At 42.7% G+C, this 21,187-nt stretch overlaps 1 protein-coding gene and 1 pseudogene across 11 annotated transcripts in view, besides 3 other annotated features; one reads left to right on the top strand and one right to left on the bottom strand.

Moving 5' to 3' along the window:
• The window catches only part of SLC17A5 (solute carrier family 17 member 5), a 60,614-nt gene that overhangs the window by 21,062 nt on the left and 18,365 nt on the right, over positions 1–21,187 (top strand). For 10 of the 11 annotated variants that reach the window (NM_001382636.1, NM_001382629.1, NM_001382632.1 and 7 more), the window contains 2 exons: positions 10,969–11,127; positions 17,484–17,616. In NM_001382636.1, coding sequence (NP_001369565.1) covers positions 10,969–11,127; positions 17,484–17,616 — 292 coding nt within the window. The remainder of the gene's footprint in view (positions 1–10,968; positions 11,128–17,483; positions 17,617–21,187) is intronic. The other variant, NM_001382634.1, reaches the window with a different exon arrangement.
• Positions 9,004–9,181: a silencer, noted in NCBI's record as "fragment chr6:74333473-74333650 (GRCh37/hg19 assembly coordinates)". NCBI's record gives its function as "represses an EF-1alpha promoter that drives an FKBP-Casp9 reporter gene in an ReSE screen in HepG2 liver carcinoma cells {active_cell/tissue: HepG2}" and the evidence as "EXISTENCE:reporter gene assay evidence [ECO:0000049][PMID:32094911]".
• Positions 13,287–13,515: a silencer, noted in NCBI's record as "fragment chr6:74329139-74329367 (GRCh37/hg19 assembly coordinates)". NCBI's record gives its function as "represses an EF-1alpha promoter that drives an FKBP-Casp9 reporter gene in an ReSE screen in K562 erythroleukemia cells {active_cell/tissue: K562}" and the evidence as "EXISTENCE:reporter gene assay evidence [ECO:0000049][PMID:32094911]".
• On the bottom strand, positions 14,277–14,619 carry RPS27P15 (ribosomal protein S27 pseudogene 15; annotated as a pseudogene).
• Positions 17,158–17,327: an enhancer, noted in NCBI's record as "experimental_94405 CRE fragment used in MPRA reporter constructs". NCBI's record gives its function as "activates a minimal promoter by MPRAs in K562 erythroleukemia cells, with activity observed for the introgressed 6:74325412 variant allele {active_cell/tissue: K562}" and the evidence as "EXISTENCE:reporter gene assay evidence [ECO:0000049][PMID:34662402]".

Here is a 21,187-nt window from a genome sequence, read left to right as displayed (position 1 = left end):
TTAAGGAACAGGTAAAAAAAATTTAACACATTATAAACAGATGTTGCCATGTAAAACTTGATATGTTTTGTCATTTTCTCAACATTGATGGGTAACAGCTTGCTTTCTCCAATATTTCATTTTTATCATGATCTTCCAGAACTGATAAAACTTTTGAGTTTGTTTAAATTTTTTAAAAAGCTTTCCCTTGGCCAGGGGTGGTGGCTCGCATCTGTAATCCCAACACTTAGGGAGGCCAAGATGGAAGGATTGCTTGGGCCCAGGAATTGAGACCAGCCTGGGCAACATGACGAGACCTCATCTCTACAAAAAATTTAAAAATTAGCCAAGCATGAGGTTATGCACTTGTAGTCCCAGCTACTCGGCTGGCTGCAGCAGGAGGATTGAGTGAGCCTGGGAAGTCAACGGTATAGTAAGCTGTGTTTGTGCCACTGCACTCCAGCTTGGGCAACAGAGCAAGACCCTGTCTTAAAAAAAAAAAAAAAAAAAAAAAAAAGCTTTCTCTACATCGATATGTGTCTTAATCTCTCCAAACTTAGGTTGTTTCTCGACACACTTCGGAAAAAGGAATATTCAGAGGCAAGAGAGTTAGGAGGAGAAGCCCAGATTGCATTCCTTTTTTTTTTTTTTTTTTTTTTTGAGTCTAGCTCAGTGCCCAGGCTGGAGTACAGTGGCACCATCACAGCTCAGTGCAGCCTCAACCCTACAGGTTCAAGCAGTCTTCCCACCTCAGCCTCTCGAGTAGCTGGGACTACAGGTGCACACCACCATGCCTAGCTAATTATTTTTTGTAGAGACGGAGTCTCGCTATGATGATCAAGCTGGTCTCAAACTGCTGGGCTTAAGGAGTCTTCCTGCCTAAGACTCCCAAAATGCTGGGATTACAGGCATGAGTCACCTTGTACAACCAGACTGCATTCTTAAAGCACATGACGTTATAGTTGACAGTGTTGTAAAATGATGTGTTACGTGAAGCTGCATCTTTAAATCTTGGACCCAAGAAATGTGCAGCATCTACTCATTCATTCTTTAAACATTTTTTTTTGAAACTTTACTATGACCTAGGTTCTTTGTCAGCTGAGGACTTAAAAATGAATAAGAGGAAAAAAATAAAACATGGTTCCTGTGGGGCCCAAGGTCTCCAGAGGGAGACAGACATGGATGGACAGAATTTCAATACAATATAGCCTGCATAATGCAGTGCTGTAAGGTACAGGACATCTTTGGAACAGAGAAGGTGGCAGTCCTCAGCCAGCCTGGGGCAGACAGGAAAAGCTTCCTTGTGTCAGTGCCTTTTGGCCAAAGGAACACACTTGTAGTTGAACAAGTTGGGTTTCTTGGTTCGTTGCAGTGAGGAAGAAAGCACACCATGAAGAACCATGGGGCATCTTAGTGCAGAGTTGAGAGGAACTTGTTGCAGTTTAGACTTGCAGTAGGTGACTTTGGGAAGGGTTTAAAGAATCAATATTTTGCTCTGGATTTGATAATTCTATGATGAATTTTTATCTAGAAGGTGGGGTAAAGCTGTGATTAGTAAGGGCACAGCAGTCACTCATATTAGCTGGGAGAGGAAGATGTTTCGCATTTTTTGTAGTTTATGGCATTTGTGTTTTTGTCTGTGCTCAGACATGACTGTGGAGTGGTTTTTTTTCTTTTTCTTCTTCTTTTTAGAGACAGGGTCTCGCTCTGTCTCCCGGACTGTCATGCAGTGGGGTGATCTCAGCTCACTGTAAAGTGGTCTTATTTTTGTCTTGCTCCAGCATGCTCATAGAGTGGCCTGGTTTCGGTTCAACAGGACAACCCCAGGCCTAGATGTTAGAACCAGGACAGTTTAGCTTACCGCAGCCCAGGACTGCTTTTTTTCTTTTTTTTTTTTTTTCTTTTGAGACAGAGTTTTGCTCTTTTTGCCCAGGCTGAAGTACAATGGCACGATCTCAGCTCACTGCAACATCCGCCTCCCAGTTTCAAGTGACTCTCCTGCCTCAGCCTCCCGAGTAGCCGGGATAACAGGTGTGCACCACCACACCCAGCTAATTTTGTATTTTTAGTAGAAACGGGGTTTCTCCACGTTGGTCAGGCTGGTCTCGAACTCCCAACCTCAGGTGATCCGCCCGCCTTCATCTCCCGAAGTGCTTGTATTACAGGTGGGAGCCACCACACCCGGCCTGACTGCTTTTTTTCTTTCTCACTTTCCTGAGAGAAAGAGTGATATCTTCTAGAGAGAGAGTGACACCTTCTAGGAAATGTGGCTGTTGGGTGTTGCTCTCGTGCATAAGGTAAAGGCAAAAAACAGCAGGAGGAGGAACAGCTGGAAGTCAGGTCACAGAGGGTCCTCTGTGCCTCCCTAAGGAGCTTAGCCTTTATCCTTTAGGCACTGGGATGCCATGAAGTATTTGTAAGCTCGAAGTGACAGAATCAGATTTGCATTGTAGATAGCTTATGCTGGCAGTCATGTCGAAGGAGATCTGAGCTGGACAAGCAAGAGTTGCAGTTCAAATGTTTTCTCAGTTATCCAACCAAGAAAAAGTCAGTACTTATAGGTAGAAATGTGATTTCATTCTTACAATAAGTGGATTTTACAATTATGATAGCATATATAGTTCTAATTCTGATTCAGAAATTTCTACAAGAAGAGAAATAGGCTGGGTACGGTGGCTCACACCTGTAATCCCAGCACTTTGGGAGGCCAAGGCAGGCGGATCATGAGGTCAGGAGTTTGAGACCAGCCTGGCCAATATGGCAAAGCTCCATCTCTAGTAAAAATACAAAAATTAGCCAGGCGTCGTAGCGTGTGCCTGTAGTCCCAGCTACTCGAGAGGCTGAGGCAGAAGAATCACTTGAACCTGGGAGGCGGAGGTTACAGTGAGCCAAGATCATACCACTGCACTCCAGCCTGGGCGACAGAGCAAGACTCTATCTCAAAAAAAAAAAAAATAGAGAAATAAAAATCTTCATTGCACGCTGCAGTTAAATTCAGAAGGACCATCTCATGACTAGCGAGTGCTTTAAGATCATCAGCTACTCCTCTATGTTGAAGATCTCCTTTTAATGAATTATGGAAAGACATTACCACTTCACCCATTGAAGTGTTCTTTCCTATATATCTGCTATTTTTGTTCTTCTTCTTTTCTTTCTTCTTGTTTTTTTGAGACGGAGTTTCGCTCTTGTTCTCTTGTTGCCCAGGCTGGAGTGCAATGGTGCGATCCTGGCTCACTGCAACCTCCGCCTCCTGGGTTCTAGTGATTCTCCTGCCTCAGCCTCCCAAGTAGCTGGGATTACAGGCATGCACCACCACGCCCAGCTAATTTTTTTGTATTTTTAGTGGAGACAGGGTTTCTGCATGTTGGTCAGGCTGGTCTCAAACTCCCAACCTCAGGTGATCTACCAGCTTCGGCCTCCCAAAGTGCTGGGATTACAAGCGTGAGCCACCACACCCGGCTTCTTCTTCTTTTCTTAATTCCAAGGATATCATGGGGTTTTCTTGTTTGGTTGGTTCTGGGTTTGTTTTTTGTTTTTGTTTGTGTGTTGTTTTGTTTTTTGACACAAAGTCTGGTTCTGTTGCCTAGGCTGGAGTGCAGTAGCATGATCTTGGCTCACTGCAGCCTCCCTCTGCCTCCCGGGTTCAAGCCATCCTCCCACCTCAGCCTACCAAGTAGTTGGGACGACAGGTGTGTACCACAAAGCCTGGCTAATTTTTGTATTTTTTGTAGAGACAGGGTTTTGCCATGTTGCCCAGGCTGGTCTTGAACTTGTGAACTCAAGTGATCTGCCTGCCTCAGCCTCCAAAGTGCTGGGATTACAGGCATGAGCCACCATGCCCAGCCTGAAGATAGCATGTTTTGTAACTGTTTTACTTCTCCTTTATGCCTTTTAGGAAGAGTATACAATTTTGCAGCATTGCGAAGCAAATCAAATGGGGACCTTGGTTTGAATATTTAGTTGTCAAATTAAGACAGAAATTAAGAGCATTTTTTACATGTAACTTTGCTAAATCAATTTGCTGTTACTTGCATTTGACAAGAAAAATTTTTTTTAAATGGCATATTAGAATATATTCAAGTATTTGTCGAGTGATCTTACCCTCTATATTTCACACATTTCATGACAAATAATTTTTATAGTTTGTCCTTTTCTGTTTCAACTTATATGGAAAAAAAGTTGATTGAGCTATTATTAGAAATTCGATGATACATTCTGAATACAAGATTCAGGATCTCATTGATTTTTCCTTCACAAATTCCATTATCATTTAAATCTCCAAAGTATATTTGCTTTCAAAATGTTGGCTGAGCAAATGATCTGAGCAATTTTAAATTTTTTTGCCTGTATGTATTTTCCTTTTTGGGGGGTGGGGGTGGGGAGGACAGAGTCTCCCTCTGTTCCCCAAGCTGGAGAGCAGTGGCACTATCTCAGCTCATTGCAACCTCTGCTTCCCGGGTTCAAGCGATTCTCATGCCTCAGCCTCCCGAGTAGCTGGGATTACATGCACGCATCACCATTCCCGGCTAATTGTTTATATTTTTAGTAGAGCCAGGGTTTCACTGTGTTGGCCAAGTTGGTCTCGAACTCCTGGCCTCAAGTGATCCGCCTGCCTTGGCCTCCAAAGTGCTGGGATTACAGGTGTGAGCCACCACGCCCAGCCACGCATATGTATTTTCTTTTATCAGCAGTGGTATTTTAGAATAATGTAGCCCTCTAATAGGAACTTTCAGGACCAGGTGCAGTGACTTATGCCTGTAATCCGATCACTTTGGGAGGCCTAGGTGGAAGGATCACTTGAACCCAGGGGTTAGAGACCTGCCTGGGCAACATAGGGAGACCCCATTTCTACAAAAAATTTAAAAATTACCCGGTGTGGTGGCACATGCCTGTAGTCTCAGCTACTCAGGAGGCTGAGGTGAGAGGATCACTAGAGCCCAGGAGGTTGAGGTTGCAGTAGCCGTGATCGCGCCTCTGCACTCCAGCCTGTGCGACAGAGCGAAACCCTGTCTCAAAAAAAAAAAAAAAAGTGGCAGGCACAGTGGCTCACGCCTGTAATCCCAGCACTTTTGAGGCAGGTGGATCGCCTGAGGTTAGGAGTTCTAGACAAGCCTGGCCAACGTGGTGAAACCCTGTCTCTACTAAAAATACAAAAATTAGCCGGGTGTGGTAGCAGGTGCCTATAATCCCAGCTTCTCAGGAGGCTGAGTCAGGAGAATTGCTCGAACCTGGGAGGCAGAGGCTGCAGTGAGTTGAGATCGTGCCACTGCACTCCAGCCTGGGCAACAGAGTGAGATTCCTTCTCAAAAAAAAAAAAAAATGCTTTCATAATTTTTAATTTTTTGCCAACAATTAGATATGATGAAGCCATCGAGAGTATGTGTTTACATTGCTTGATTGGCAAGATAGTAGTGTGTTAGAAACAATAGCAAGAGAATAATTTCTAGATCCAGAACATCAAAAAAAGCTGTTTTGTACCTTCTTAAGCCCAACCTTGTGTTGTCCAGTATGGTAGCCACTAGCTCCACGTGGCTGTTATATTTTTAATTTAACTAATTTAATTAAAAATTTAGTTTTGGCCAGGCACGGTCGCTCACACCTGTAATCCCAGTACTTTGGGAGGCTGAGGCACGCAGATCACGAGGTCAACAGATAGAGACCATCCTGGCCAACATGGTGAAATCCCATCTCTACTAAAAATACAAAAATTAGCCAGGCATAGTGGCACGCGCCTGTAGTCCCAGCTACTCAGGAAGCTGAGGCAAGAGAATCACTTGAACCTGGGAGGTGGAGGTTGCAGTGAGCCGAGATCACGACACTGCACTCCAGCCTGGCGACAGAGCGAGACTCCGTCTCAAGAAAAAAAAAAAAATTAGTTCTGGCCAGGCGTGGTGGCTCACGCCTGTAATCCCAGCACTTTGGGAGGCCAAAGTGAGTGGATCACCTGAGGTCACGAGTTCAAGACCAGCCTGGTCAACTTAGTGAAACCCCCATCTCTACCAAAATACAAAAATTAGCCAGGCATGACAGTGAGTGCTTATAATCCCAGCTACTCGGGAGGCTGAGGTGGGAGAATCACTTGAACCCAGGAGGCGGAGGTTGTAGTGAGCCGAGATCGCTCCACTGAACTCCAGCCTGGGCAACAGAGCAAGACTCCATCTAAAAATAAAAAAATTTAGTTATTCAGTCACACATATGTCACACATATGACAAGGGTTTTGTTTCACTTCATTTTCTTTCATCAACCTGTTAGAAGGACAAGATTTAATAACCACATGTAACTACTGGTTACCCTGTGGACAATGTGCATATAAAACATTTCCATCATCATGGAAAGTTCTACTGGACAGCACTACCTTAAACTCTTGAAGGATTTTTTTATAAATGTCTGCTAGATACGCGGATAGTTTCTCCTAGTAACATTTGAAAATTCATCTTTAACTTGAAAGTTTTTATAAATGAAGACTTTCCCCCTGAAATATAACTTGTAATGTGGAAATACTATAAGTTGATCTTACAATTCATATTGGGAGAACAGAAAACTGTTGTGTTGTACCTAGATTACAAATGAACACTAAGCTGGAATACATACATTTCACATTCTTCTTTCTAAGCCTCTAACCCTGTGAGCCTTGTATTCGTTTGATAAGCAGCTATTGAGAACCTGCCATGTGAAGGGCTTATGTGTTAGACATACAGCTCATCTTGGTTGGGTGATTGTTCAAAAACATCAGATTATCAAAAACTCAATTGATATTTATAGGTTGTGAAAACATACCAGTGTGACTAAAATTAAATATTTCTTATTTCAGGTTATGTTTCCAAGAGGTAGGGTACATTCTTCAGAATACATTCAGTTTTCAGAGATCAAATACATTTACACTTGTACCTTTCAGCATAAAAGAATGATTTCACTTCCTTTGTGGATTTCAAAGCCATATAAAAAGAGCTATGTTCCAAATTCCTTCAAACTCTAAAATCCTCTCTGCCCTGAGCTTTTCAATCAAGAAGGATAAGGGCAGACTTTTTAAAATCTGATCTCTACAGCAGTGGGTCCCAAACTTGCTGCACATTGAAATCACCCAGGGATCTTCAAAAACTAGGGATACTTACCTCCCACCCACCCACAACCTATTCAATTGGTCTGTGGTGTGACCTTGGTCTCAGTGTTTTTAAGGCTCCCCTGGGTGATTCTTATATGCAGCAAAGTTTGGGAACCCACTGCTCTATAGAATCACCAGTGAAGCCTTTTAAAACTTAGATTCCTTGGCCCTACACTCAGAGTTTTTTTGCCTTACTTGTTTTTGTTTTGTTTATTCAATAGGCAGAGAGTAGAACACAGGCCCCTATAATTGTAAAGTATAGCTGGAGTTGAAAACCACTGCTGTAAAAGAATCAATGTTCTCTCTCCTTCTCTTTCCCTATATCTGTACATCTTTGATCATATTAAAAAATACAACCAAGCGCAATGGCTCACTGGCTCACGCTTGTAATCCCAGCACTTTGGGAGACCGAGGCTAGCGGATCACCTGAGGTCAAGAGTTCACCACCAGCCTGGCCAATATGGTGAAACCCCATCTCTACTAAAAATACAAAAATCAGCCAGGGGTGGTGGCGGGTGCCTATAATCCCAGCTACTCGGGAGGCTGAGGCAGGAGAATCGTTTGAACCTCAGAGGCAGAGGTTGCAGTGAGCCAAGATCGCGCCACTGCACTCCATCCTGGACAACAGAGCAAGACTCCATCTCATAAATAAATAATAATTTTTTAAAATTTGTAATTAAAAAACACAAGAGCATATCTACAAAGATGTCAAGTAAAAAGTCCATATGAAAAAGGCCAGAAGAAGGTTGGGCAATACTGGTTCTTCCTCTTTTTAAAATAACAGCAACTGTGAACTCTGAAGGCAGAAACATAGATTGCTCTTGCTTTTGAGAAAAACAACAGTCTTAGCGTATAGAAAATATAAAAATCTGATGCCCTAAATATCAGTGGTATCCAAGCTTTCTTGATCATGCAAGAATCAATAAACAGGTGGGAGGCTCACAATCTGAATGTATATATATATATTGTTTTCTTTTGAGACAGAGTGTTGCTCTGTCGCCAAGCTGGAGTGCAGTGATGTGATCTTAGCTCACTGCAACCTCCGCTCCCTGAGTTCAAGCGATTCTCCTGCCTCAGCCTCCCAAGTAGCTGGGACTACAGGTCGCGCCACCACATCCAGCTAATTTTTGTATTTTTAGTAGAGACGGGGTTTCACCATGTTGGCCAGGATGGTCTTGATCTCTTGACCTCATGATCCGCCTGCCTCGGCCTCCCAAAGTGCTGGGATTACTGGCATGAGCCACCACGCCTGGCCGTATATTTATTCTTAAGTTATCTATATGTACTATGATACTTATGTATATCATAAAATATATACAGAAATAGACTTTTTAAAGGATTGATAGATGAAATAAACAGAATATACATAAAATTTACATCTTAATAGAAAAAAACTTCTTTGCTATAACTTAAAAATTACAAATAATTTGTTGTTTTTATTTTTTGAGACAGAGTCTCGCTCTGTCGCCCAGGCGGGAGTGCAGTAGCGTGATCTCAGCTCTCTGCAACCTCCACCTCCCGGGTTCAAGCAATTCTCATGCCTCAGACTCTTAACCAGCTGGAATTACTGCTGCGCACCACCACACCCGGCTAATTTTTGTATTTTTAGTAGAGACAGGGTTTCACCATGTTGCCCAGGTTGGTCTCGAACTGTTGGCCTCCAGTTATCTGCCCGCCTCGGCCTCCCAAAGTGCTGGAATTACAGGTGTGAGCCACCATGCCCAGCCATAATTTGTTGATATAATAATATTTAAAGGGAGCAATGTGTTTGACTATGTTATAGTTAATGATCTGCCATTATTTTGCTTGGCGAAGTAGTTGACAAAGGACTCATCAAGAAAAGTGGCAGCTCAGCCGGGTACGGTGGCTCACGCCTGTAATCCCAGCACTTTGGGAGGCTGAGGCGGACAGATCACGAGGTCAGGAGATCGAGACCATCCTGGCTAACACGGTGAAACTCTGTCTCTACTAAAAATACAAAACATTTGCCAGACATGGTGGCACGTGCCTGTGATTCCAGCTACTCAGGAGGCTGAGGCAGGAGAATCACTTGAACCTGGGAGAGAGAAGTTGCAGTGAGCCGAAATCGCGCCACTGCAATCCAGCCTGAGCAACAGAGCGAGACTCCATCTCAAAAATAAATAAATAAATAAATAAATAAATAAATAAATAAATAAATAAATAAAAATAAAAGACACTTAAAATAAATCACTTACGCTGGGGGCAGTGGCTCACACCTGTAATCCCAGAACTTTGGGAGGCTGAGGCAGGCAGATCACTTCAGGTCAGGAGTTCGAAACCAGCCTGGCCAACATGATGAAACCCCGCCTTTACTAAAATACAAAAATTAGCCAGATGTGGTGGTGCACACCTGTAATCCCAGCTACTTGGGGGGCTGAGGCCGGAGATTGCTTGAACCCGGGAGGCAGAGGTTGCAGTGAGCTGAGATTGCACCACTGCACTCCAGCCTGGGCAATAGAGCAAGACTCCATCTCAAAAAAAAATACATAGGCCAGGTGCAGTGGCTCACGCCTGTAATCCCAACACTTTGGGAGGCCAAGGCAGGTGGATCACCTGAGGTCAGGAGTTCGAGACCAGCCTGGGCAACATAGTGAAACCTTGTCTCTACTGAAAATACAAAAATTAGTCAGGCATGGTGGTGCATGCCCATAGTCCCAGCTACTCGTGAGGCTGAGGCAGGAGAATCCGACTTGAAGTGGGGAGGCAGAAGTTGCAGTGAGCCGAGATCATGCCACTGCACTCCAGCCTGGGTGACAGAGCAAGACTCTCTTAAAATAAAATAAAATAGTACTTAAACTGCAATATGCTATAATACTCTGAGGGCAAACAAACAAGTGAGGATGCCATTATTAACCTCTCTGAATTGGGGGACTCATACGATTTGTAATCACCTGACATACTCCAGGGCCAACATATTTATTAAATATTAATAGAGTGTGTTTTTTTATTTTTATAATAAAAATGAGTAAAAATGGAAATAAATAGAAATATGTCTTTCCTCACCCCAACAGATCATCTTGCATACCCCTATGGTGCTTTTACCCTGCTTTAAAGACCACTACTGCATATGGCTGCATACAGAAACCTTGTATTGCCTAATTTTTATAAATCATTTCAATTGAATAAAGATTGGATAATTAAACATGAATTCTAACAGGACCTTCCAATCTCTTTCCTTTATCCTTATGTCAACCTCTGAATCTGACCGTGAAACTATATTTTAGAAATAGAGAATTCAGGCCGGGCACGGTGGCTCACGCCTGTAATCCCAGCACTTTGGGTCGGATCACTTGCAGTCAGGAGTTCAAGACCAGCCTAACCAACATGGTGAAACCCCGTTTCTACTAAAAATGCAAAAATTAGCCAGGCCTGGTGGAGTATGCCTATAATCCCAGCTACTTGGGAGGCTGAGGCAGGAGAATCACTTGAACTCAGGAGGCAGAGGTTGCAGTGAGCCGAGATTGTGCCATTGCACTCCAGCCTGGGCAACAAGAGTGAAACTTGTCTCAAAAAAGAAAAAAAAAAAAAAGAAAGAAAGAAATAGATAAATCAATGCTGCAGGTGACTTCTGACATTCATAAAGAATGTTTAGGGTTGACATTATAGCTCTACGAATACATTTTTACTTTTTCCTCTAATCTGAATCATGGACTTTCTAGTTAATATATTTTTTAAAAAATCAAACAACTAAATATTTATCATGTATTTTGCTATTTAATATTTCAAAGGAGTTGATTTAAAAATTTGGAGTTTACTAATTAAGGTGATATTCTGTATGAATTCTGGATAGAGTTTTAGCTGATACGGTACAGATCTAAGCATTAACATAGCCGTAGTTTATCCTAATTATTCCTGTTTTCTTCAGCTTTCTTCACAGAAGTCAGTGCCGTGGGTACCCATTTTAAAATCCCTGCCACTTTGGGCTATCGTAGTTGCACACTTTTCTTACAACTGGACTTTTTATACTTTATTGACATTATTGCCTACTTATATGAAGGAGATCCTAAGGTTCAATGTTCAAGAGGTAAGAAAAAATAATCATCTGCTTCTTATATATATAGTATAAGACCATACACAGAATTTGTTCTCATCTGTATAAAATTCAGTTATTCTGTATCTTCCATTTTACTCTGCTGTCCTAAATTTTAGAGATTCTTATACATCAAAGGACTATTAAGAAAATGAAAAACAACCCACTGAATGGGAGAAAGCATTTATAAATCAAACATCTAATAAGGGTCTAGTATCCAGACATATTAAGAATTCTTACAATTCAATAATAAAAAGACAACTCAGTTTTTAAAATGGGCAAAGGACTTGAATACGAATACACATTTCTCCAAAGATACACAGATGGCCAATAAGCACATGTAAGGATGCCCGACATCAGGCCGGGTGTAGTGGCTCACGCCTGCAATCCTACCACTTTGGGAGGTCGAGGCAGGTGGATTACTTGAGGCCAGGCATTTGAGACCAGACCGGGCAACATGGTGAAACCCTGTCTCTGTTAAAAATACAAAAAAGGCCAGGCGCGGTCGCTCACGCCTATAATCCCAGCACTTTGGGAGGCCAAGGCAGGCGGATCACCTGAGGTCAGGAGTTTGAGACCAGCCTGACAAATATGGAGAAACCTCATCTCTACTAAAAATACAAAATTAACCAGGCGTGGTAGTGCATGCCTGTAATCCCAGCTACTCGAGAGGTTGAGGCAGGAGAATTGCTTGAACCCGGGAAGCGGAAATTGTGGTGACCCAGGATCAAGCCATTGCACTCCAGCCTGGGCAACAAGAGTGAAACTCCATCTCAAAAAATAATAATAATAATAATTAATCCCAGCACTTTGGGAGGCTGAGGCAGAAGGACTGCTTGAGCCCAGGAGTTCGATAATACAGATTGGATAATACAGCAAAACCGTCTCTACTAAAAACACACAAAAAAATTAACCGGGCATGGTGGCCTACACCTGTAATCCCAGCTACTAGGGAGGCTGAGGCACGAGAATCTCTTGAACCCAGGAGGCGAAGGTTGCAGTGAGCTGAGGTCATGCCCCTGCACTCCAGCCTGGGCAGCAGAACAAGACTCTGTCCCAGGAAAAAAAAAAAAAATGCTAACAAGGCTGACTGCACAACTGCACTGGCTACATGGACTTACCTGCTTTAAAAACTATTAAAGTGAATCCTCAGTCACTCACATTCCAAAGTATACCATAAACATTGGCCTGGCTATGTGGACCAAACCTTAAAACTTCAGGCAGCTAAGCTGTGAAGAACTCCTCTGTCTACTTCTGAAAAACAAGATCACTATATAGAAATATTTCCACAAATTGCACTGACAGAAGTTAAATTGAAACTAGGCTTTGGCAACATAATGGGATGGATTCATTGTGAGCAATCTTATTTTTCCCAAGTTCTCTGTTAACAGAGCCTGATTATAATCTACTACTACATTTCAACTATAAAGTGGGGCTGATTTTTAAAAAAGAAAGAAATAAATAATATACTACTACAGTGATTAATTGCATTCAACTGTGCATTGAAAGGTTAATTTGGTAATTATCATTTGGGGTAAAACTGAGATCCACAGGAAGATTAAAAATAGCAAATCCAGCCGGGCCCAGTGGTTCACACCTGTAATACCAGCACTTTGGGAGGCCGAGGTGGGTGGATCACTTGAGGTCAGGAGTTCAAGGCCAGCCTGGCCAACATGTGAAACCCCATCTCTACTAAAAATATAAAAATTAGCCAGGCATGGTAGCAGGCACTTGTAGTCCTAGCTACTCGAGAGGCTGAAGCAGGAGAATCACTGGAACCCAGGAGGCAGAGGTTGCAGTGAGCTGAGGCCATGCCATTGCACTCCAGCCTGGGCAACAGAGCAAGACTCCATCTCAAAAAAAAAAAAAAAAAAACAAATTCTCAAAATCATATTAACAAAATATCTTATTTTACTTATAAAGTATATTTAAAGATTACTACACTGATGTTTCTATTTGAGATTTTCCAGGAAGAACTATATATGGAAGAAATAAAATATCAATAGCTGGCCAGTAATTAATGTTGTGTACTTTAAAACAAGGATCTTTTATCTTGCATTTTCATAGACAAAAAGGTTTATCTTAATTAAAATTAAAAGAAATGTGAATATAGGACCTTCTTTCATTCTGTAAAATAAAAAGAAATGTGAATAGAGTTTGAAAATAATTCTATAATTATATAGCCTATTTTTTAATTGATTTTTTTTCTTGAAAATCAATGTGTTACATTCATGAAATGGCCTAGGTGTTTTTGTTTTTGTTTTTTTTAAATAGTAGAGATGGGGTTTCCCATTATTGTCCAGGTTGGTTTCATACTCCTGAGCTCAAATGATCCTCCTGCCTCAGCCTCCCAAAGTGTTGGGATTACAGGCATGAACCACCCTGCCTGGCCATCAGATGGCCTTTGTTCAAAATAAGCTTGCTTTGAGAAGCGTGGCATGCCTCCTTTTATTGCACTTTGCTTTATTATACTCTGCAAATATTGTATTTTTTATGAATTGAAGATTTGTGCTAACCCTGCATGGAGCAAATCCGTTAGCACCATTTTTCCAACAGCATGTGCTCACTTCAGGGCTCTTGATCTTTGAAGTTAGTGTTGTAATTGTTGGGGGGCACCATAATCCTTCCCCATATAAGATGGCAAACTTAATAAATGTTGAGTGTCTTCTGACGGCTCTGCCAACCAGCCACTACCCCATCTCTTTCCTTCTCCTTGAGCTTCCCTATTCCCTGAGACACAACAATATTGAAATTAGGCTGGTTAATAACCCTACAGTGGCCGGGCGCAGTGGCTCACGCACCTAGCACTTTGGGAAGCCGAGGCGGGCGGATTGCCTGTGCTCAAGAGTTCGAGACCAGCCTGAGCAACACGGTGAAATCCCATCTCTACTAAAATACAAAAGAAGTTAGCCAGGCATGGCAGCTCGTGCCTGTAATCCCAGCACCTCGGGAGACTGAGGCAGGAGAATTCCTTGAACCTGGGAGGCAGAAGTTGCAGTGAGCCAAGATCACACCACTGCACTCCAGCCTGGGTGACAGAGCAAGACTCCGTCTGTACAGAAAAACAAAATAAATAACCCTACGATGGCCTGCAAGTATTCAAGTGAAAGCAAGAGTCACATATCTCTCATTTTTTTAAATCTTTTATCTAAAATGTGTTTATAGAGATGGTTTTCCACTCATCTTGATTCAGAGTGCTCTTAGTGCTGCTTCCTCCTGAAGGAACATCCTTCCATAAGCCTTGCTTTTCCTCCTGTAGGCTGGCAGAGGACAGTAGAGCACCCAACACACAAAACTACTGTTTGTGCATGAGTAAAGACCGTGATGATTTTATAGCGTCCTGGGCACTTCACATCCATGAAGTAGGAATTAGTGCTCTGCACCAGGCATTTCTTCTTGTGTTTCCTCTTCTCCTCTTCTGGAGAGGGATGAAGGAAATTTTTTGCAAGAGGTGTGTTCTCGTCGGTAGGTCGTCACAACCAGAAACTCATTTTATTTTATTTTATTTTATTTTATTTTATTTTATTTTATTTTATTTTATTTTATTTTATTTCATTTTATTTTATTTTAAGACTGAGTCTTGCTCTGTTGCCCAGGCTAGAGTTCAGTGGTACGACCTCAGCTCACTGCAACCTCCACCTCCCGGGTTCAAGCGATTCTCCTCTGTCAGCCTCCCAAGTACCTGAGATTTCAGGTGTGTGCCACCACACCTGGCTAAATTTTTTATTTTTGTAGAGACAGGGTTTTACCATGTTGGCCAGGCTGGTCTCAAACTCCTGACCTCAAGTGATCCCTTTGCCTTGGCCTCCCAAAGGGCTGGGATTACAGACGTGAGCCAATGCGCCTGCAAAAAAATTGGAATCAATTTTTTTAAATAAATGAATACAAGGGATCTTATCCTTGAAGAGAAAACTTAACAACTGTGGAAGGTGCCTGTGGAATGTATAAATGCTGAAGACTTTAGTGTATTTAGGTTGTTGCCCAGGCTGGAGCGCAGTGGCGCAATCTTGGCTCACTGCAACCTCCGCCTCTCAGGTTCAAGCGATTCTCCTGCCTCGGCCTCCCTAGTAGCTGGGATTACAGGCATCCACCGCCACACCTAATTTTTGTATTATTAGTAGAGATGAGGTTTCACCATGTTCACCAAGCTGGTCTCAAACTGCTGACCTCAGGTGATCTGCCTGCCTTGGCCTCCCAAAGTGCTGGGATTACAGGCATGAGCCACCGTGCCTAGCCGGCAGTTTTTAGCATTGCAACTTGAAGTGGCAATATTACTAACTGTGAGGAATTATCAACCTTATCCCACCAGGAAACAAAATCAAGATCAGAAAATTCACTTATCTGATTTACTACAGCTTATTCTTTTTTACTTTCCTACTAATATTTTGAAACCATTTATTCTTATACAGGATTTTGCCACAAATAATGATAGATGTGATCCCACCGTGCAGAAGTCTAAATGGAATTGTGTTTTTTTTTCTTTTTTTTGTTTTTTTTCTTTCTGAGACAGAGTCTTGCTCTGTCACCCATGCTGGACTGACTGCACCAGAGCAATCTTGGTTCACTGCAACCTCCACCTCCCAGGTTCAAGCGATTCTTCTGCCTCAGCCTCCCAAGTAACTGGGATTACAGTCATGTATCATGATGCCCAGCTAATTTTTTGTATTTTTAGTAGATACAGGGTTTTGCCATGTTGACCAGGCTGGTCTTGAGCCCCGTCCTCAAGTGATTCTTCCTCCGCGGCCTCCCAAAGTGCTGGGATTACAGGCATGAGCCACTGTGCCCAGCCAAGCTTTTTTTGTTTGTTTGTTTAAGGGAAGTAGAATAGGCAATGCTTGATGATTGGACGCGAAAAATGAGGGAAAAGAAACCATCAGGAAAGACTCTCAGAGGCCAGGCGCGGTGGCTCATCCCTGTAATCCCAGCACTTTGGGAGGCTGAGGCGGCCAGATCACTTGAAGTCAGGAGTTCGAGATTAGCCTGGCCAACATGGCGAAACTCCGTCTCTACTAAAAATACAAATTAGCCGGGCGTGGTGACACACGCCTGCAATCGTAGCTACTCAGGAGGCTGAGGCAGGAGAATTGCTGGAACCCAGAAGGTGGAGGTTGCAATGAGCCAAGATCACGCCACTGCACTCCAGCCTAGGCAACAGAGCAAGACTCTGTCTCAAAAGAAAAAAAAAAAAAAGACTCTCCAGTTCTGTTAAAAATAAACGTGTGTGTGTGTGTGTGTGTGTGTGTGTGTGTGTAGTAAATAAACATGTAATGCACTTTTGAGTTATTGTTTTACTGGGCACCGATAAATTTTAAGAAATAGATAAATTGTAAGAAAAAAATGAATGGAAGGGAACTTACAGATTTAAAGAGACATAAAAGGCAAATCAAAAAAATTTTAATGGCCAAGACTAAATCGAAGTGTCTAGGGATGTACATTTGGGTGATGTAACTATAAATAAAAGTGAGTACATGATTACTATACACCAAAACGAGGTTAATGCTTATTTAAGGGGGGAGGAAGAGGGCTCTGATAGGACTAGGACCATGAAGTGTCTTCTGGCAAGGCTGGCAAAGTTCTATTTCTTGACCTAGATGGTCATTAGAAAGACTCATGAGGCCGGGTGCGGTGGCTCATGCCTGTAATCCCAGTACTTTGGGAGGCCAAGGTGGGTGGATCACAAGGTCAGAAGTTCAAGACCAGCCTGGCCAAGACGGTGAAACTCCGTCTCTAATAAAAATACAAAAATTAGCCAGGTGTGGTAGCAGGCACCTGTAACCCCAGCTACTCGGGAGGCTGAGGCAGGAGAATCACTTGAACCCAGGAGGCAGAGGTTGCAGTGAGTCGAGATCACACCCCTGTACTCCAGCCTGAGTGACAGAGTAAGACTCCATCTCAAAAAAAAAAAAAAAAAAAAAAAGAATGATTCATTAAGCTATGTTTATGTGGTTTTCTGCATCTGCATTTTATTTTATAGTAAAAAAAATTTTTTTTAAATAAATGAGTGAGAATGGAAGATGAAAATGTTCAGTAGGGAGAATCCATAGGCTAACAGGAAGGTTTGTCTTCTCTCACAACCCAGATCCCAGAGAAACAGTCAAGATTACCCGAAGCAGACAGGACTAGGGCAAGGCTTATTTCCCTCTGAGACAGACTCTTAGGGACTGCCTTGGACTGAACCCTATAATCCTTCTGACAGCCAGACTTATTTACTGTAATTATATTAAAAAATTAACAACATATTGCTATGCATTTCCTTTGCTTTCAAGTGGTGGTCATTGGCTGTGATGAATGTGTATGTTTTGTTTTTTTCTCTCACCGTAATTAATCCTGTATCTTCTTATTCCTTCCAGAATGGGTTTTTATCTTCATTGCCTTATTTAGGCTCTTGGTTATGTATGATCCTGTCTGGTCAAGCTGCTGACAATTTAAGGGCAAAATGGAATTTTTCAACTTTATGTGTTCGCAGAATTTTTAGCCTTATAGGTAAGTGAAGCAATCAGGTTTTGTTTTGGTTTACAGTTATTTACCATGTTTACAGTTATAGGAGATAGGAAAACAAAGTGTGTTTCCCACTTTTACACACAGTTAACACAATACTCAACACAGAACACCTCGCTCTAATCACCAAAATGTTTGTGGGGATTTCTGCCTACACATAACCAGTTCTGCAGCGGACACCAGCTAGGTATCCTGTAATTCAGTTCTGACACTGTCCAGCTGGCGGTAGCATCAGATCCTATAGGTTGAGGGCTCAGTTCCACAAGATCGCCCCCCTACTTCGGATACCAATCACAAGTCCCAGCTTGTGACCTCTGCTTCTGACTGACCGGCTATAAATCAGGGTTCCCATGACTGTCTTGTCAGGTTCAGTTAATCTGCTAGAGCATCTCAGAGAACTCAGAGAAACACTTTATTTTATGTTTACCCACTTATTATAAAGGGTATTGCAAAGGATATAGATGAACAGCCAGATGGAAAAGCTGCATAGGGCAACATATGTGGGACCGGGTAGGGAGTTTTCATGCCCTCTCCTGGAACACCACCCTCCAAGAACCCCGACCGCAAAAGTTCATCCAAACCCTGTCCCTTTGAGTTTGTATGGAGACTTCGTTAAATGTGTATGATTGATTAAATCATTGGCCATTGGTGACTGGCTCAACCTTCAGCCCCTCTCCCCTCTCTGGAGTTTGGGGGTGGTGCCAAAAGTCCCAGACCTCTAATCCAGCCACCATCCTGAAGCTGTATGGGGACCCCCAGCCACCAATTGTCTCATTAGCATACAAAAGACACTGTTACCACTCCAGAAATTCCAAAAGTTTTAGGAGCTGTGTGCCAAAAAACCGGGGGCAGAGACCAAATATATATTTCTTTTTTAAAACAATTTTTTAATAGAAATGGGGTCTTGCTATGTTGCCCCGTCTGGTCTTGAATTCCTGGCCTCAAGTGATCTTCCTGCCTCAGCATCCCAAAATGTTGGGATTACAGACATGAGCCACCACACTGGCCATATTTCTTTTCTTATTTTTTTTCTTGAGACAGGGGCTCACTCTTAGCCCAGGCTGGAGTGTGGTGGCATGATCTTGACTCACTGCAGCCTCAACCTCCTCAGCCTCAGGTGATCCTCCCACCTCAGCCTCCTGAGTAGCTAGGACTACAGGCACACACCACCATACCCAGCTAATTTTTTAATTTTTACTGAAGACGGGGTTTCACCACGTTGTCCAGGCTGGTCTTTAACTCCTGAACTCAAGTCATCTGCCCGCCTTGGCCTCCCAAAGTGCTGGGACTACAGGAGTGAGGCACCACACCCAGCCCCAGCCATTTTGTTTAATTTCTTTCTTTAATGGGACAAGGTCTCGCTTTATTGCCCACATTGGCCTTGAACTCCTGGCCTTCAGCAATCCTGCTGCTTCAGCCTCCCAAAGTGCTAGGATTACAGGTGTGAGCCACCACACCCAGCCCCCAGCCATATTTTTTAAAATCACAATATCACAACAGTTCAAGACAAAATAAAAATGATAATATTAGTCTTTTATTTTGTTCACATAACAAAACACTATGATGCATTTAAGTGCATTTCTTTACAATATGTTTCTTTTTGAATCATACATTTTGAGGATTAAGATTTATAATATTCACTGGGCGCAGTGGCTTATGCCTGTAATCCTAGCACTTTGGGAGGCTGAGGTGAGCAGATCACAAGGTCAGGAGTTCAAGACCAGTCTGACCAACATGGTGAAACCCTGTCTACTAAAAATACAAAAATTAGCTGGGCGTGGTGGCAAGTGCCTGTAATCCCAGCTACCTGGGAGGCTGAAGCAGGAGAATTGCTTGAACCCAGGAGGCAGAGGTTGCAGTGAGCTGAAATCGCGCCACTGCACTCCAGCCTGGGCAACAGAGTGAGATCCTGTCTCAAAAAAAAAAAATTTATAAAAGATTTATCTCCACCATGGCTTATAATTATTTTTAAAATGGCTTGCTGTGCCAAACATCATCCCTCACAATTTTATATATCACTGTGCTTTCAGCTCAGACTTTGCAATGAAGATTTTTATATCAACTTTAGACAAGATGTAATCAAAGTATTTTTAAGCCTCCATCCCTTTTCTAAGTGAATGCATTTTAAGTTTCAATCCAAAAATATTTACTAGCATTATTATATCAAATAAGGAGCTATAAATCAAAGAACTCAAAGAACCCATAAATAATCATGTGTTTCAGACTCTGCTTTCAGAAAGGTAATTTTTTTTTTTTTTGAGACAGGGTCTTGCTCCGTTGGCCAGGATGGACAACCATGGCTCACTGCAGCCTCAACCTTCTAGGCACAAGTAATTCTCCCACCTCAGTCTCCTGAGCAGCTGGGACTACAGGTCACGCCACAGCACCCAGCTAATTATTTTTGATTTTTTGTAGAGACATGGTTTTACCATGTTGCTCAGGTTAGTCACAAATTCCTGGGCTCAAGCGATCCTCCCACCTCAGCCTTTCAAAGTGCTGGAATTACAGGCGTGAGCCACTGTGCCTGGCCTAGAAAGGTAACTTTTAAAACTATCTAATCAGTTAGGCATGATGGTATGTATCTGTAGTCCCAGCTACTCCAGAGGCTAAGGTGAGAAAATCTCTTGAGCCTAGTTGTTTGAGGCTGCAGAGAGCTATGATCACAACACTGCACTCCAACCTAGGCAACAGAGCAATACCCTATCTCTAAAAATAGTTAGAAAAAAATGTACGTAGAAATAAAACTGTCTAAGACAATCATTTAACTTTTTAAAAGTCTCCAGTAGAGACCCTGGAAGTCTCAGTGACTATACTTCAGTAATTACATTATAAAAAGACCCTGGCTGGGCTCGGTGGCTGTTGCCTGTAATCCCAGCACTTTGGGAGGCAGAGGCGGAGGCAGGCAGATACTTGAGGTCAGGAGCTCAAAACCAGGCTGGCCAACATGGTGAAACCCCATCTCTAATACAAAGATTAGCTTGGCGTGGTGGTGTGTGGCTGTCCCAGCTATTCAGGAGGCCGAGGCAGGAGAATTGCTTGAACCTGGGAGGCAGAGGTTGCAGTGAGCCAAGATTTCGCCACTGCACTCCAGTCTGGGCAAAAAGAGTGAAAAAAAAAAAATTAGCCAGGCATGGTGGCACATGCCTTTAATCCCAGCTACTCAGGAGGCTGAGGCACAAGACTTGCTTACACCTGGGAGGCAGAGGTTGCAGTGAGCTCAGATTGTGCCACTGCACTCCAGCCTGGGTAACAGAATGCGACCCTATTTCAAAATAAATAAATAAAAGTAATGAAATTAAATTAAATCAGACATGGTGGCGTGCACCTGTAGTCCCAGCTACTCAGGAAGCCAAGGCAGAGGATCACTTGAGCCTGGGAAGTCAAGGCTGCAGTGAGCCATGATCGCACCACTGCACTCCAGCCTGACGACAGTGAGACCCTGTCTCAAAAAAACAAGAAAATAAATAAATAAGTAAATAAATGTAATTGAACTTTTTTTAAAGTTCCTCAGTTGCAGTATATACAAATACAACATTTCCATCATCACAGAGAGCTA

The sequence above is a fragment of the Homo sapiens genome, chromosome 6 (assembly GCF_000001405.40).
Source record: "Homo sapiens chromosome 6, GRCh38.p14 Primary Assembly".
NCBI classification, from domain to species: Eukaryota; Metazoa; Chordata; class Mammalia; order Primates; family Hominidae; genus Homo; species Homo sapiens.
This window is presented reverse-complemented; position numbering and strand designations above follow the sequence as displayed.